The sequence below is a fragment of the Homo sapiens genome, chromosome 9 (genome assembly GCF_000001405.40).
Source record: "Homo sapiens chromosome 9, GRCh38.p14 Primary Assembly".
In the NCBI taxonomy this organism is placed as follows: Eukaryota; Metazoa; Chordata; class Mammalia; order Primates; family Hominidae; genus Homo; species Homo sapiens.
In genome coordinates this window covers 69,457,792-69,472,166 of record NC_000009.12, presented here as the reverse complement: position 1 = coordinate 69,472,166, position 14,375 = coordinate 69,457,792, and the positions used below count along the sequence as shown (strand labels likewise).

Genomic DNA, 14,375 nt, shown 5'->3' with positions numbered 1-14,375 from the left:
ATTTTTAAAAACTCTAGCACACATTTTTAGCACAGTGAGAGATCACTGTGGCAAAGAGTAAAATAAATTTCTCTGAGAGAATTCTTAATTTCAGCTATAATCATAGCATTGGTGCTTTCACTAATCAGTTTTTCACATGGAAATGCAGATCCTTAAGAATACAAATTGTGCCCTTTTTATTGTTGTTAGAGACTTGTCTGTGGGATTGTTTTTTAGTTGGCAAATACCTCTCTGATTGTGAAATGTAAGATTTCTAGATTATCTAAAATATGAATGGACTATTCTGGGTTTTAGGTAACCTTTACTAATAAATGCATGTTTATCTGCACTTTACTTTCTCTAACTAAAAATGATCAATAATTGGTAACTGCCACTGATTATGTATTTATTTTTCATGTTGCATGGATGATTGTGTTAATTCATATTTCATTATGCTTTGCTCTTTTTGAAACCTCTTTGTCTTTATTACAGTCAAGAAAAAGCTTGGCTTCATTCCCAACCTACGTTGAAGGTAAGAGCTGAAAAGAAAATACTGAGCACTGAGTCATTCATGAATCTTTTAGCATTGGGGCATATGAAGCACTGAGATATAAGACAATGGAAGGGAAGAAAGGCCACAAAGTCACTTATTCACAATGTTAGCAGTCTTAGGATCTTAGACTCAAAGAATGATAGCTGGGAGCCTCTCAGAAATCCTCCTCACGTCTTTGCTCATTATGTGGATGAGGACTCTGAAATTGGAGTCGAAGCTGTGGGCTTTACCCAGTGTCATGCAGCTTAGCAGTGGTCACACTGGATCCAAAACCCAAGTCTCCTTATTCTGTCTCTGTGCACTTCATACATTCAAAAAGAAAAATTCAAGTGGGAATGAACATTAACTAAGGCAGAAATTTTGGTCTTTTTTAATAAGAAAAACCTTCCCAGCAATTTTCATCTATTACGTGGATGAGCTAGTAATAGTAACAGTTACTGCATGCTTACTCTGCCAGGTTCTGTTCTAAGCACCTCCCATGTAATAACTAATTGAATCCTCACTTCAATCCTGTGAAGTGAGTTTTATTATTATCCCCATGTTATAATGAGACAACTGAGGCATCAAGAGGGTAACTTGCCCAAGATCCCACAGTTGGCAGTGCAGACCCAGGCTATGAATTGGCAGGCTGGCACCATACTTCTCTCTGGAAACCGGTGTCTTTGTGGGGCTGCCACACATGGTTGTGCAGGTTACTCACTGCACAAGGGCACCTACTCTAAGGCCAGGTGGGGCCAAAGTTCCGCCAAGCTCTGCACTCCAGCTGGAGACTGTACCATCCAAATGGGGCACCAAATCAGGCATCATTTCTCATTCACAAAGAGGCACTCACTCTCTGGCTAGAGGTGATGCTGAGGGTCCACCTGGGTGCATCGCCATTTCCTTGAAGGAGGCTTTTCTGGAGGCCAGAGAACGCCCAGACATCTCTCTGAGGGTGTGTCTGGACTTTGGATCCTGTGCGTAAACAGTCATTGTGTTCCACTGCCTGGGAAAGGGTTACCAGGGCTCATAAACCTTCATGAACCCTTGGGCTCAAAGCCCAGGACAAGCTCACAGTTTTGGTTTAGTTACTTAGGTTTCTCTCTTGAATCATCGTAAATTATTTGCATCATTTTTGTGAGGCCCTGAAATTCTGTGAGAGCATTCTGGGAAGTTTTCTGAAGTTTGAAAGCTCCCGTCTTCATATTCATCCCCCAGGCCTAGGGATTTTTCAGGCTCAGCATTAGCCTGAGTATGAGGATGTCACATGTGTGCTCCCTCATCCACAGAGCAATCCGAAGGCAGCACTAAAGGGAAACCATGTTCCGAAAGGCCAAAAGAAAACCTGCAATTCTCTGACATAGGATCATTAAGGGTTTAATTTTTTTTAACTTTGTAAGAATATACTATCCCTGAGCTCAAAGTGAACTTATGAAATTGGGGCTTTTATTTTTCTGGGTGTGATGCGATGACAGTGATATTCAATTATATTCAATTTCCTGAAAGGATAAATGACATAAGACCATATCTCAAAAGGTGTTTAGGTCTGATATTTGTGTGTCTTGGATGCTTGGCATTTCTACAGTCATTTAAATATAATTTGGATTGCTTTTAAACATATCCCCATACCCACACTTACTGTAGTCAAAAAGGGACCTTCTCAGTGAATAGCGCCAAATCAGAGAATATATGATGTTAGAAGTCCCGTAGAGAAGGTAGTTAATTTTTGTTTTCTTTTAACATTGATTTTTAAAAAATAGATGGAAGACTTTTAAAAGTTCATATCCCAGATGAGATCGTTCTTCTTCATATCTGGTTGGCAATAATGATTATGTTTCCATAACACTATAAATGCATCACCAGGAACTTATCATAGAAGAACTGACAATCTTTTACTTTATATAAAGTGTAATGTGGATTCAGACCTGTTCATATATTATTTTGTATGCTTCCCTGCTATACAACTGAAACTGTATATCATATATAGCCCGAATCCATCTCACATCTATAAAAGATTCAGAGCGGGCCCCTGTGGCTGTTGAGTAGAGTGTGAATTACTGGTGTGGAGTGGAGGCAGATTTGTCTGTGTACCACTCACAGTGTTAGCTTCAAAGTCTTGCTTATAAAAATGGAGAATAAGACAAATAACAGGCTTCCTTATTTAATTACTACATAGATGCTTTGTGAAAGCCTTTCCTAAAACACTTTTAATTTCTCTGTTTCAAGCACCACCTTAGTTTTAGAAAAATGAGTAGATTATTTTACATCTTTACTCTGATAAGTAGTTCAGCACAGGAAGCAGCTGTGTAAACTCAAGATGAGCTTGATGTTTAAGGATAAAAATAAAAAGCATTTCAGATTAGCCTTCCAAGAGGAAAAAGCAAATTGTTTCCATTACAAGTTACCTAATTTAAGACCCTGAGGTTTTAACAGTGGGTTAAAATGTATATTTTAGTCTCTGCAGATGTACCAGTCAAGTCAAATAAAATACACAAGGCTAGGCATGGTGGTTCATGCCTGTAATCTCAGCACTTTGGGAGGCTGAGGCGGGCAAATTGCTTGAGCCCAGGAGTCCAAGACCAGCCTGGGCAACATGGCAAAACCCCATCTCTACAAAAACTACAAAAATTAGTTGGGCATGGTAGTGCCTGTAGTTTCAGCCACTTGGGAGGCTGAGGTGGGAGGATCCCTTGAACCTGGGAGGCAGAGGTTGCAGTGAGCCGAGATCACACCACTGTACTCCAGCCTTAGCGAGAGAGTGAGACCCTGTCTCAAAAAAAAAAAAGAAAGAAAATAAAATACGTATGTTTCAATTGCAGATTAAAATGCCTTTTTAAGTAGACTGTTATACAGTTATATATTAATCACAGACACGTTTTAATTTCGAGTTAGGGTTTACAAGTAATTGTGGTTAGAAACAGGTGCCCCCAATTAAAATATTTAAAACAGGTTTGACTTAAAAGGCTGGTAAAATAGAACAGAAAATTTGATTTTCCTTGGAATCTGTCTATGTGTGGGCACAGGCCAAGAACATTATAACCTGTAAGTGAACAAGATTGACAGCATGGGACTGTGGCTTTGAGGTCACATTATCTGTCTTGCACAATTGAGGTCAGAAGCCATTACAGGAATCCAGACATTCTGAAACAGATATCCTATTTTTCTGATCTATAAATTTGTTTCTTCCATTATGGATTAAATGGAGGAAGAGATATGAATGGGGGGGGGCAAGTAATAGGAATTGCTGTAAAAAGCTTTTCTAAAAAGACAGCCATCTAGTTACTTAAGCATTTATCCAGCAAATATCTAGTTGATACCACCTGGGTGACAGTAAGACAAGAGAGTCAGAGGTGAATGTCACATGGTCCTTGTCCCCTAAGAGCTCACAGTCTAACAGGAGAAACAGTATCCTTTATTGCTGAATTTTATGTTCCATGTTTAAGTAAATATTTGCATCACTTTCCATAGTAAATGGTTTTAGAGAAGCAAAATATTTTAGAAACTGTGCCTTCTATTTGAAAATGAGGTGTGGGTGCAGATAGACACAGAGAGATGCCTCAGACCAGCAGGTTGGCTCTGCCTCACCTGTGCCAGCAGTGAGGCATGGGAGAGGGGAGATGTGCCATTGAGGGGGTTGGCAGGCCCCACCCCAGGATGGCTTCCTCACTGTGGCTCTATGTGTTACAGTTCCGGGACCCTGCGACCCCGAAGACTTGATCGATGGAATCATTTTTGCCGCCAATTACCTTGGCTCCACTCAGCTGCTCTCAGACAAAACTCCTTCCAAAAACGTGCGCATGATGCAGGCCCAGGAAGCCGTAAGCAGGATCAAGGTGAGGACATCTGGGTGCTCCAACAGGGACAGGGGGCTGGTGTAGGCACTGGAGCAGTCTACAACACTGGCCACAACTCCACATATAGTTTAGAGGAGAGTGGTTTGAGATGACATCACACAGGCAGTGCTTATCCATGTGCCTGCTAACAAAACAAAAATTTCCAAAATCTACTGGAGTCTTTATATACAAACATGATCTATTTAGGTTGTTATAAATGGCCAGTCTTGAGAAGAAGTGCTCATGATCACAACCTTTGAAAAGTTGGTGTAATGAGGAAGGATGCCGTTTTGAGTATTATGTCTCAAGTGCAAGACATGTACCACTGGATTTCCACTGACAGCTGGAGGTCAGTGGCAAACATTCATGTTACAGAGTTGGTTTAAACTAGGTGGCATTGCTTTTGAACCAGCCCATCCTGTTCAAGCTAGATTGAACTTGCTTGCTTCAAGGAAAATGAACCCTTTGATCAAATCTAACCTGGCTAGTCTAAGGTCAGTGCAAGGCTAATCCAGTTTAAACTAGTTTGAGCCAATCATAACATGTTTGAATCTCATTAATCAAGACATAAAAGGAACGAGCCTGTTTGATCCAGGAGGAACCACTCTTATCTGGTTTAAGTCATTCACAACTAGTTTGAACCATCCAGAACTGGTTTATTCCCATGAATAAATGCAGCAACACAGAGCTCTAGAATCTCCACCACGATACCAAAACTACCTAGAATCATGGGCAAACCAGGACTCCAGGAACACTTAAGGTGTGTTTATGTCATCCACATGCCATTGTGCCACCAGCACCTGGAACCACTGGGCAGCCTCCCCGAGCCTTGAGGCCACTGTCACCTAGAGCCCTAGGGACAGCATCATGGTAGAAGTCCAGGACCAGGTATTTCCAGCAAGTTGGAATAGGTTAGAACTTGTAAGAGTCTGTTTTATCCAGTTTCAACTGGTCAAAATGGATTCTTCCCTCAAGGAGCCATTCCATATTTCATACCTTCTCTCTCACACACTCCCAGGTTGCACCCTGGTGTTTGTGTGGTAACGTGGAAGGAGAAAGAGGGACAGGTAGACCGCAGTAACTGAGAATCCTTGATCTCGCAATCAAAGAAAAAATTATTCCTTGAGCACTTAGGCATGAAGAGCTGTGCAGGGTCTTGGCAGGGAGGAAAAACAGTAGCTGATAAAGTGAGATCCTTGTTCTCAAGCTCAGCAGTATGAATGAGGGAATGACAAAGCAAGCCAGGGAGTGTGTGGGGTGTGCCCAAGGAGAGGACAGTGTCAGAGGCCGAGTGCCACCAGAGTGCAGGGGAAGCCTGCAGATGCGAACACCTCTGACCACTGCCTTCTGCCTGAGAGGTAGAAAGGAACAGTAAGTGACCAACAATTCCAAGAGGTGCTTGCAGAGGAGAGGCAGTTGGTTTGGGCCTCATGCCCAAGCTGATTCTTACGTTAGTCACGTGTCCAGACTCTGCCATGTGGTGAATAGCTCATACCATCACCAACACCGTAAATATGATGCGCCTGAACCCTCAGCTGTCCAGTTATCCTGCAGTTCCCAGGATGCTGTGTGAATGGCCCCACGTCCCTCTCATGGCTTCCTCCTCAGGCTGCTCACTGCCGCTCCTGCTGCTGGGCCTCTGTGTGTCACCCACTGATCTGACCACCTCTCTGTACTTGGAGAAAATGCTTCTCCCCCAAGCTCAGAGCTGGCCCTTCTCTTAACTCCTCCTAGGACAGTAAAGCCCATGCCGTAACTTTTGACATGACTACGATGTTTTTATAAACCAGGGAGGAGTGATTTGCAACTGCCTCAAGAGTGACTGTTGTCACAACCCTGCTAGGCCAGACCTAGTGTCAGGATTACTGACAGGACCTTTTAGTTCCTTCCGTGTGTCAGGGATCCACTCAGCCACTTCATCTGGGGCACACAAACCTTGCCTGTGCCTCAGAGGCCCTGCTGCCATAAGGCCCATTTCTGTGGTGTTTGTCTTCTTCTAAAATTAGCCTCTCCCAGAATGATGGACAGTGGGAAGGTCCAGTTCTTTTAGGGGAAGCCCCACCCCCTACCCAAAGAGATGTGTCTTGCCCCATGGCTCCCAACAGGACAACTCCGTGGAGACAGTCTGACCTTCATACCTTTTGGGACTTTGAGACTAAACAATGCTACGGATAGAACATCACCATGTTCTTGGGGAGCTGCCCATCCAAGCTTGGCCTAGTTCCCTTTCACTGTCTTCCTGTTTCCACGAAGTAGTGACATTGTGCCAGCAAGCCTCCCCAAGGTCTTCTCCATCTTAATTTAGTTGTCTTCCAGGCACAGCATTCAAAACAACAACCCACAAACCTCTCAGAGAGAGCAAGCTGCTTCTCAGGCAAAGTCACGTCCTATTTTGTATAAAGCAGAGAACTTTAAATCAAAGAGACATAGAGACATAGTTCTGACTCCACGTGCCCCATGGGTACCAGATATGCCACCTGGGCTTCCAGGTGAATGGTGCTGTTAGCTTCCCCAGGTTTGGTGGAAGCACAAAAGCCTGGTGTGCCTCACTTGGGGTCTCTGATAGACAGGGACTGCCTTCATAAGATGTGTTTGGAAATGAGTGGGGGCACCTCTGCTTGTCACCATGACTGGGGGCATTTTCTGGGCCAGAGCCAGGTGTGCTCAAGACCCTATAACATCCAGGGCAGAGCCACAAAACAAAGATTTTATCTCTACCAAAATGCCAAAGAGCCCCTATCAAGGAATGCTACCCAGAGCCCGTTCAGGCGTATCTTCCAGAATAAAGCAGCAGTCTGCCCCCAAAGGAGTACTGAAGACTTCTGAGGTTGAAAACTGCACGTTGCCTTGAGGTTAGTTTTTTCTAGGTTCTATCCATCAAGGCTTCAAACATTTTAAGGTTCAGGTTTCATTTGGGACACCTTGTTTATTAGCCCTCTGATAGCTTTGGACTCCTACAGACAGAACATTTATGCCTTTCCAGTCCCCTTATGGCACTTAGGTAGTGCTGAGATGGCCTTACAGGGAAAAAGCGGGCACGGGGCACATCACTTGAACGTAAAGCAATGTTCGGGGTACACAGCATCCCTGTACCAAAGCTCGTCAGTGCCAATTATATTGTGAATTACATTTTCTTATTTCCAAAGTGGTGTCCTATAGAGTTGTTATTCCTTCTTTAAAGTCCAGCTGCCTCATAAGAAATCAGAGATTTTACTTCAAAGCTTCCAAAGGATTGGTATCCCGAAGTTCCACAGTTCATTTGAATCAAAAATTAGATGGCTCTGTTGATCAGAACAACCAAGATAGAGGCTTTCTGATTATAAATACATTTTAGACCTGCCTAGAGCAGAATAGGCATTTGGAAAACATAGATTTATTTTTACAAGCAAATTACTCTGGCGTGAGGAATTCATTATAGAGTGGTAAAATTAAATGGTTACATTTCATTTATAACTTATAAGTATCATTTTACAATGTGCATCTATGCATTGGAAGGAACTGTTGCCTGTCATTAAATATTTTCTGTTTCATGTTCCTTTTACATCCATTAAAATGCTTATCAGATTGGTTGACGTTATATCCAGCTAGAAGCCTTTTCCAAGTGTAAATGGAGATGCCTGTTTAAGTCAGCACTCTCCAAAAAGTGACTGTGTCAGGGAGCGTACACGGACTTCATCAATGCAAAGGGAAGCTGGGGGCAAAGAGTGCTGATCCTGAGCAGGCTGGGCTGGGCTCAAGTGGAAGGAGCTTGCACCAGGTGCCCACATGTGCTTGGGAGACACTGCTCTGTAAGGAAGATGGTGCCACGCTGTTTCCTAAAGAGAGACTGACCTTTCAGGACAAGTTATTCTAGGCCACCTTGACAGAAAGGACGTAGAGCACAGCAAAGCTGCAGACTTTATAGCGTCCGTCCAGGAAGGAAGGAGAAAGAAAAGCTCTGTGGATTTATTTTGCAATCCATTTAGCAATGTCCTTAACCCCAATCTGATTAGTAATTTCTGGCTTGGCACTTTCACCTAAACAAAGGTGGGGGTAGTTTCCTCCTTTGTTTTCTGATTCCTCCTTCTTCCCTCACTCCCTGCAGGGACCCCCGTTTTGTCCCTCTCTTCCTCTGCCTACATTGTTTGTTTGACCAGATGGATGTGACTGGATGTGAATGAGAACTGCTCACCACGCGCCCTGTTATTCGTGGTGCTTTATCTCTGAACAGACGCTGACCTTGAAGCTTAGGTTTCCATTTCAAAGTAGTCTTTAATTTCTCTTCCATTTGTCGATTGTGGTGTCCGCCACTCATGTAGTACCAACTGTATACTAAAATTGAACATTGCTTATTGGATTTGGACTTGGGGTTTTGAAAATTACTGTTTTCTTAATTTAACAAAAAATTTACAAGATTCCTTTGCCACATGGAGAGAGAATTTGGAGCTGCGGTTTGGCCAGGTATTTTCTACTTAATGTGAAAAGAAACAAAGGAATTTGGCCCCAAATGCCAACTGTTGCTGTGCAGACTCCTGTGATAGGCCCTTTAGGAATAAATTTAACCAATACACAGTTCTTGAGCTTGAGAAACTTGCAGTAAAAACAAGCCAAAAAGAATGTTAGGTAACAAAAATACAAGGTAAGCTGAGGGCTCTGAAATTTAAAGGCTTTTCCATCTACCACAATTTAAGAGATGACATATCTGAGCACAATAGCAGAATTAGAAGACATCTGTCATTAAACATTTTTTTGTTTTGTTTTGGTCTTTGGTCCCTCCCTAATGTGTTCATTCTGCCTTTGTTGGTCATCATTTTTGAGAAGTAATATCCTTCCAGAGAGCCCCCATATACCTTAGGGGATTGCATTAGAGCCCTGGTTCTCAAAGCATGATCCCTGGACCAGTAGCATCAGCATTGCCTACAAACTTCTTAGAAGTACAGGTTTTCAGGCCCAACCCCAAACCTACTGAGTCAGAAACTCAGAAGGTGGCACCCAGGAGTCTGTGTTTTAACAAACCCTCCAGGAGATTCTGCTCTGCACCAGCGTTTGGGAACCACTGCCTTAGAGAAAGGTGGACCCGCCAGTGTGTGAAGCATCTTTCCTCCCACTGTGCCCTGTAGCATTCTAGTCAGGCTAAGTGCTTGTCATTAATAGAGTTCCACTGGCAAATAAGCTCAAGAAAATAGACCTCCTTTTCGGACATTTGCTACAGGTGTCTTCCTCTTCAAGGCTCTGAGAAGTCCTGCACTAAGAAGATTTCATTCACTTTAACTAGCAGCTCCCATACTTATTTGAGCACAGAATACATTGTTACCATGTGATAGATACCTGTCATTGGTAGTATTCTCTGGAACATGTTTTGGGAGAAACTTCTAGAGAGAGCTTTGTCCTATGTGCTGTCAGTCTTTAATGTGCCGTAGATAGAAACACATCTCTCCCCTAACAACGTGGGACTCATGCCTACCCCTTTCTAGAGAAAGCCAGACTGGAAGCCAGCACAATGAGCTCATTTGTCTTCCTTGTTCTCCACTGCATCTCCACCTTGCCTTCCACTCTCATTCCCACTTCATTCTCTGCTCTTCAACCAGAAGATAGGGTGGCCTGCTGAGCCCTACCTGAACCACAGAGACTGCTTCATGTCCATCCACCCAGAGTGTGGTGTTTGTGTCTCCATTCTTCCTGTATTTGTGAAGCTAATGCAATTAGATTAGATTACAAATGGTGTATAGGTATCTTGTGGTCCATGCATTTTGGCAAGCTGCATTCATTATCAAATATTCATATATTCATCTTAACTAGCCTGTCCCAAAGATCAGATTTTTTTCATTCTTTTATGATTTTCTCAAAATTATGATTTCATTGTAGAAGTAAAATGTCTATCATTATAGCTTTGCCTAAGTTGTAGCATTTCCCAGCTTAGTTGAAGAAATCTATGATCAGTAAAGTATTAGGCCCTTCACATGCATTATCTCAATCTCATTTACTCCTCAAAATGGATGGGGTAGAGAACATTGTGAGGTAGGTGTTGTTAACCCCATGGTATAGACAAATGGAGAAGTTTACAGATGACATGCTTGCCCCAGTTGCACAACTAGGGGTTTACAATGGAGTGAGATTGCCAGAGTTTGAATCTCTATTCTGCCACTTCACAGCTGTGTGACCTGGGGCAAGTTAATTAGCCTCTCTGTGCCACATTTCCCTCTTCTGAAAAATGAGGATAACATAATATAGGCAGAAATGACAACATCTACTTAAACCTCGTGTTTCATGGGATTGATCATGGCTTACCATCTAGCAGGGTAGTAGCTCACAGGGGTGTTGTAAGCTTTTACACTGATTTATGTGAAATACTTTGAAGGATTCTGGCACATAGCAAGTTCTCAGTAAATGTCAGTGGGGAGAGAAAAGATAGAACAGTCAGGAGCATCCCTGGCACGACTAATCTAGAGTGTGTTAACAGCGGCAGAAACTCAGTACACATTGTGGATGGAGTAAGGGGGTGGGGGGTGCTGCAGTTTGTCCTTTGCACTACACCCCGCCACGTGGTAAACCATGATCAATCCCATGAAACACGAGGGTTTAAATAGATGTTGTCATTCCTGGCTTTAAAATGCATGCTGGCCTTATGTTTCTCTTGGACCCCTTTCTGCTACCCTAATTTCTCATTCTGGCTCCAACTCTCCCATCTTCTGTGATGTTATATTTAAATTTTAAATTATAATTTGTTGCAGGGTACTTGGATATCATGAGTGATTTAAAGATGGTATTACTCTAAATCCACAGAATATTTTTAACTTCATAAAAACTGTTTCGGGCCAGGCACAGTGGCTCACGCCTGTACTCCCAGCACTATGGGAGGCCAAGGCGGGTGGATGACCTGAGGTCAGGAGTTTGAAATCAGCCTGGTCAACATGGTGAAACCCCGTCGCTACTGAAAAATACAAAAATTAGCTGGGTGTGGTGGCACATGCCTGTAATCCCAGCTGCTCAGGAGGCTGAGGCACGAGAATTGCTTGAACCTGGGAGGCGGAGGTTGCAGTAAGCTGAGTTGGCACCACTGCACTCTAGCCTGGGTGATAGAGCGAGACTCTGTCTCAAAAAAAAAAAGTTTCAGAATACCTTTCATGAAACTCAGTTTGCCTTTTGGATCCTCTTCCTCAACACCAGTCCCAGAAAAAAAAAAAAAAGAATTTGGGTACTCCAGTGATGGTGGAACCTATTTCCTTTTGAAAGAGTTATTTCAAATCGGTTCCCTAGAGTTGAAGAATTTTGACCAACAGCTGTTAGGGTTTGGGATCCAAAGTAATGGAAATTCCTATATTACTGCCATATCATTTCAGGAGAAGTAAAAAACAAACATTAAAGATCTCCCAGCTGTCAGTTATGCAGATTATAACTGATGCCAGTCCGAACATCCCTGGCCAGACTCTGGGGTTCCACACGGGAATCCTCGTGGTGTGGCATGGCATAACATCAGCATAGGGTCACTTCTCAGATGCAGAACTATTCCCACTGTAATGTGCAGCAGTCAGGATGACAGAGTTGCTACCTTCAAACTTTTTCAGAGCAGACTATTCACTGTGAACTCATGGCGACCAGTAAGAACAGCAGGGCATCTGTGTGGGAGTGTGGTTGCCCTGGTTTCCCGGGTGTACCAGAGATTCGCTATGTGGTGTCTGGATGGCTGACTTATCCAGTTTCTCTACAATGAGGTAGTATAGGCAACATATTTTAGTCACTAATGAAACAGAGATGTGCTGCTGAGAGCAGAGGAGCTTTTCTACCAGGTGAGTACCCAGGAATATGAGAGAGCAGTTCTTCCTCCACCCCAATCCCATTACCACAATAGCGTCTGCAGTTTGGCCATTGACTTGCCATTATTTGTACAAGATCTGTATAAATAGCAAGTCTTAGCAAAAGGCAAGAAATTGCATCATGACCTAGGTCAATTATAATCATATAACAGCAAACACAAATATAGTGCTTAGAATGTATGAGGCACTGTTTGAAGAGCTTTGCATGTATTCATTTTGTCCTCAAAATATCCCTGTGAGGTAGATACTATTTTTATCTTCACTTTACAGATGAAGAAACTGAGGCACAGAGATGTTCAGTGGCTTGCCTCAAAGTTGCACAGCTAGTAAGTGGCAGAGCCAGGACTTGGTTTTAGACAATCCAGCCCCACGCTCTGCTTTTATCAACTATGCTGTCTTTTAATTGTGAGCAAAAGGGAGAATGGTACATCCATTTTTAGTTAGGTGTAAACTACATTAATATTACATAAATTTAAGGCAAGAAGTATTACTGGAGATAAAAAGGGAGAACAATGAAAGGATCAATTTACCAAGCAGGTATACCATCCTACCTGTGTGTGCACCTTATAACATAGCTGTAAGATAAAGATTGACAGAATCAGGATACACAGACAAATCCACATAACAGCTGGAGGTTTTAACACACTCAATAAATGATGGAACAAGAGATTAAAGAACCAGCAAGTATATAGAAGGTTTGAACAATACTGTTAACCACCTTAATTGACCTAATTGTCATTGATTGAACACTGTCCCTAACAACTACGGAATGCATATTTTGAAGTGCACATGACACATCCACCAAAGGCAGTCATGTGCTGGACCATAGAGCTAAGCCTCAGCATATTTCAAAAGATTGACATACAGACTGTGTTCTCTGACCACAGTGGAATTAATTCCAAAATCAGCAGAAAAAGATAACTAGAGGCCAGGCGCGGTGGCTCGCGCCTGTAATCCCAGCACTTTGGGAGGCTGAGGCAGATGGATCACCTGAGATCATTTGAGACCAGGCTGGCCAACATGGAGAAACCCCATCTCTACTAAAAAATACAAAAACTAGCCAGGCGTGGTGGCGCATGCCTATAATCCCAGCTACTCGGGAGGCTGAGGCAGGAGAATCTCTTGATCCTGGGAGGCAGAGGTTGCGGTGAGCCAAGATCATGCCATTGCACTCCAGCCTGGGCAACAAGAGCAAAACTCCATCTCAGAAAAAAAAAAAAAGAAAAGAAAAGATAACTAGAAAATCCCCAAATGTATCAAAATTAATAATACAATTCCAAATAATCCAAGGTTCTAAGAAATTGCAGTGGAAATTTGAAAAAAAATTTAACGGAACAATGATTAAATTGAAACACAAAAATCTGTGGAATACATCCAAAGCAATGCTTAGAGGGAGATTCATAGCTTTGCATATCAGAATAAAGTTTGAAAAGCCATAATTTAAGTTTTTATCTCAGGAAGCTGAGAAGTCAGCAAATTAAACCCAAAGAAAGTAGAAGGAAATAAAGATCTATGCTGAAATCAGTGAAATAGAAAACCAGGCGTACAATAAAGAAAATTAACAGAACCAAAACTTGGTTATTTGGAAAGATCACTTGCAATTAAGTATAAGAAGCACTGCAACACATTTCCTTTGTCTCACTTCACCACTTCCCACATACTAAATTCTGAATTACGACATTGATTATCTTTAGACTGGGATTTTTAAAAGCCAGTCCTCCTCCCACAGAAACGCTTTATGCCACTATTCAGTATTAGTTTGTCAATTCCCTTTTTGACTTTGAGTCTCTACACATTCTTTCTAACTATTCTCCTGTCTCTGTTTGTTCCATGCTAAGCAGATGGCCCAGAAATTAGCCAAAAGCAGGAAGAAGGTGCAGTACAAACAACTTCATCAGCTTGGTGTTATGCCTGTTCTTTTCATTCGTTTCTGTTTTACCTTTTTATATTTTCGTGTTTTTGTTTTCTGCATCCAGCAAGTTTTTGTTCAGATTTCTTTTTGAACCGCCCCATAAGCCAGCGTTTCTCAAAACTCAGTTGCCGAAGGTGGCCGTTTTCTGTTGCTCATTAGTCATTTCACTTCAGAGGAACGACAGGGAGCAGATTGGAGACGCTGAATGAATCGTATAGTAGTATGGAAGTTCCAAACATTCAGGAGCATCGATGTGGCAGGGACTTGAGTCTGTTTGATTATAGTTATGCTTGATTTGTGGATTTGTCAGATTGCTGGATGCAAAA

At 42.5% G+C, this 14,375-nt stretch overlaps 1 protein-coding gene across 5 annotated transcripts in view, besides 1 other annotated feature; it reads left to right on the top strand.

Annotated features, from left to right (window-relative positions):
- APBA1 (amyloid beta precursor protein binding family A member 1) overlaps window positions 1–14,375 on the top strand; it is a 245,482-nt gene that overhangs the window by 200,847 nt on the left and 30,260 nt on the right. For 4 of the 5 annotated variants that reach the window (XM_011518617.3, NM_001163.4, XM_047423300.1 and 1 more), the window contains 3 exons: window positions 472–511; window positions 4,199–4,344; window positions 13,979–14,011. In XM_011518617.3, coding sequence (XP_011516919.1) covers window positions 472–511; window positions 4,199–4,344; window positions 13,979–14,011 — 219 coding nt within the window. The remainder of the gene's footprint in view (window positions 1–471; window positions 512–4,198; window positions 4,345–13,978; window positions 14,012–14,375) is intronic. The other variant, XM_005251968.4, reaches the window with a different exon arrangement.
- Window positions 4,579–5,778: an enhancer, noted in NCBI's record as "MED14-independent group 3 enhancer chr9:72081305-72082504 (GRCh37/hg19 assembly coordinates)". NCBI's record gives its function as "activates an origin of replication core promoter dependent on BRD2, BRD4, P300/CBP and CDK7 cofactors, and independent of MED14, by STARR-seq in HCT116 cells {active_cell/tissue: HCT116}" and the evidence as "EXISTENCE:reporter gene assay evidence [ECO:0000049][PMID:35650434]".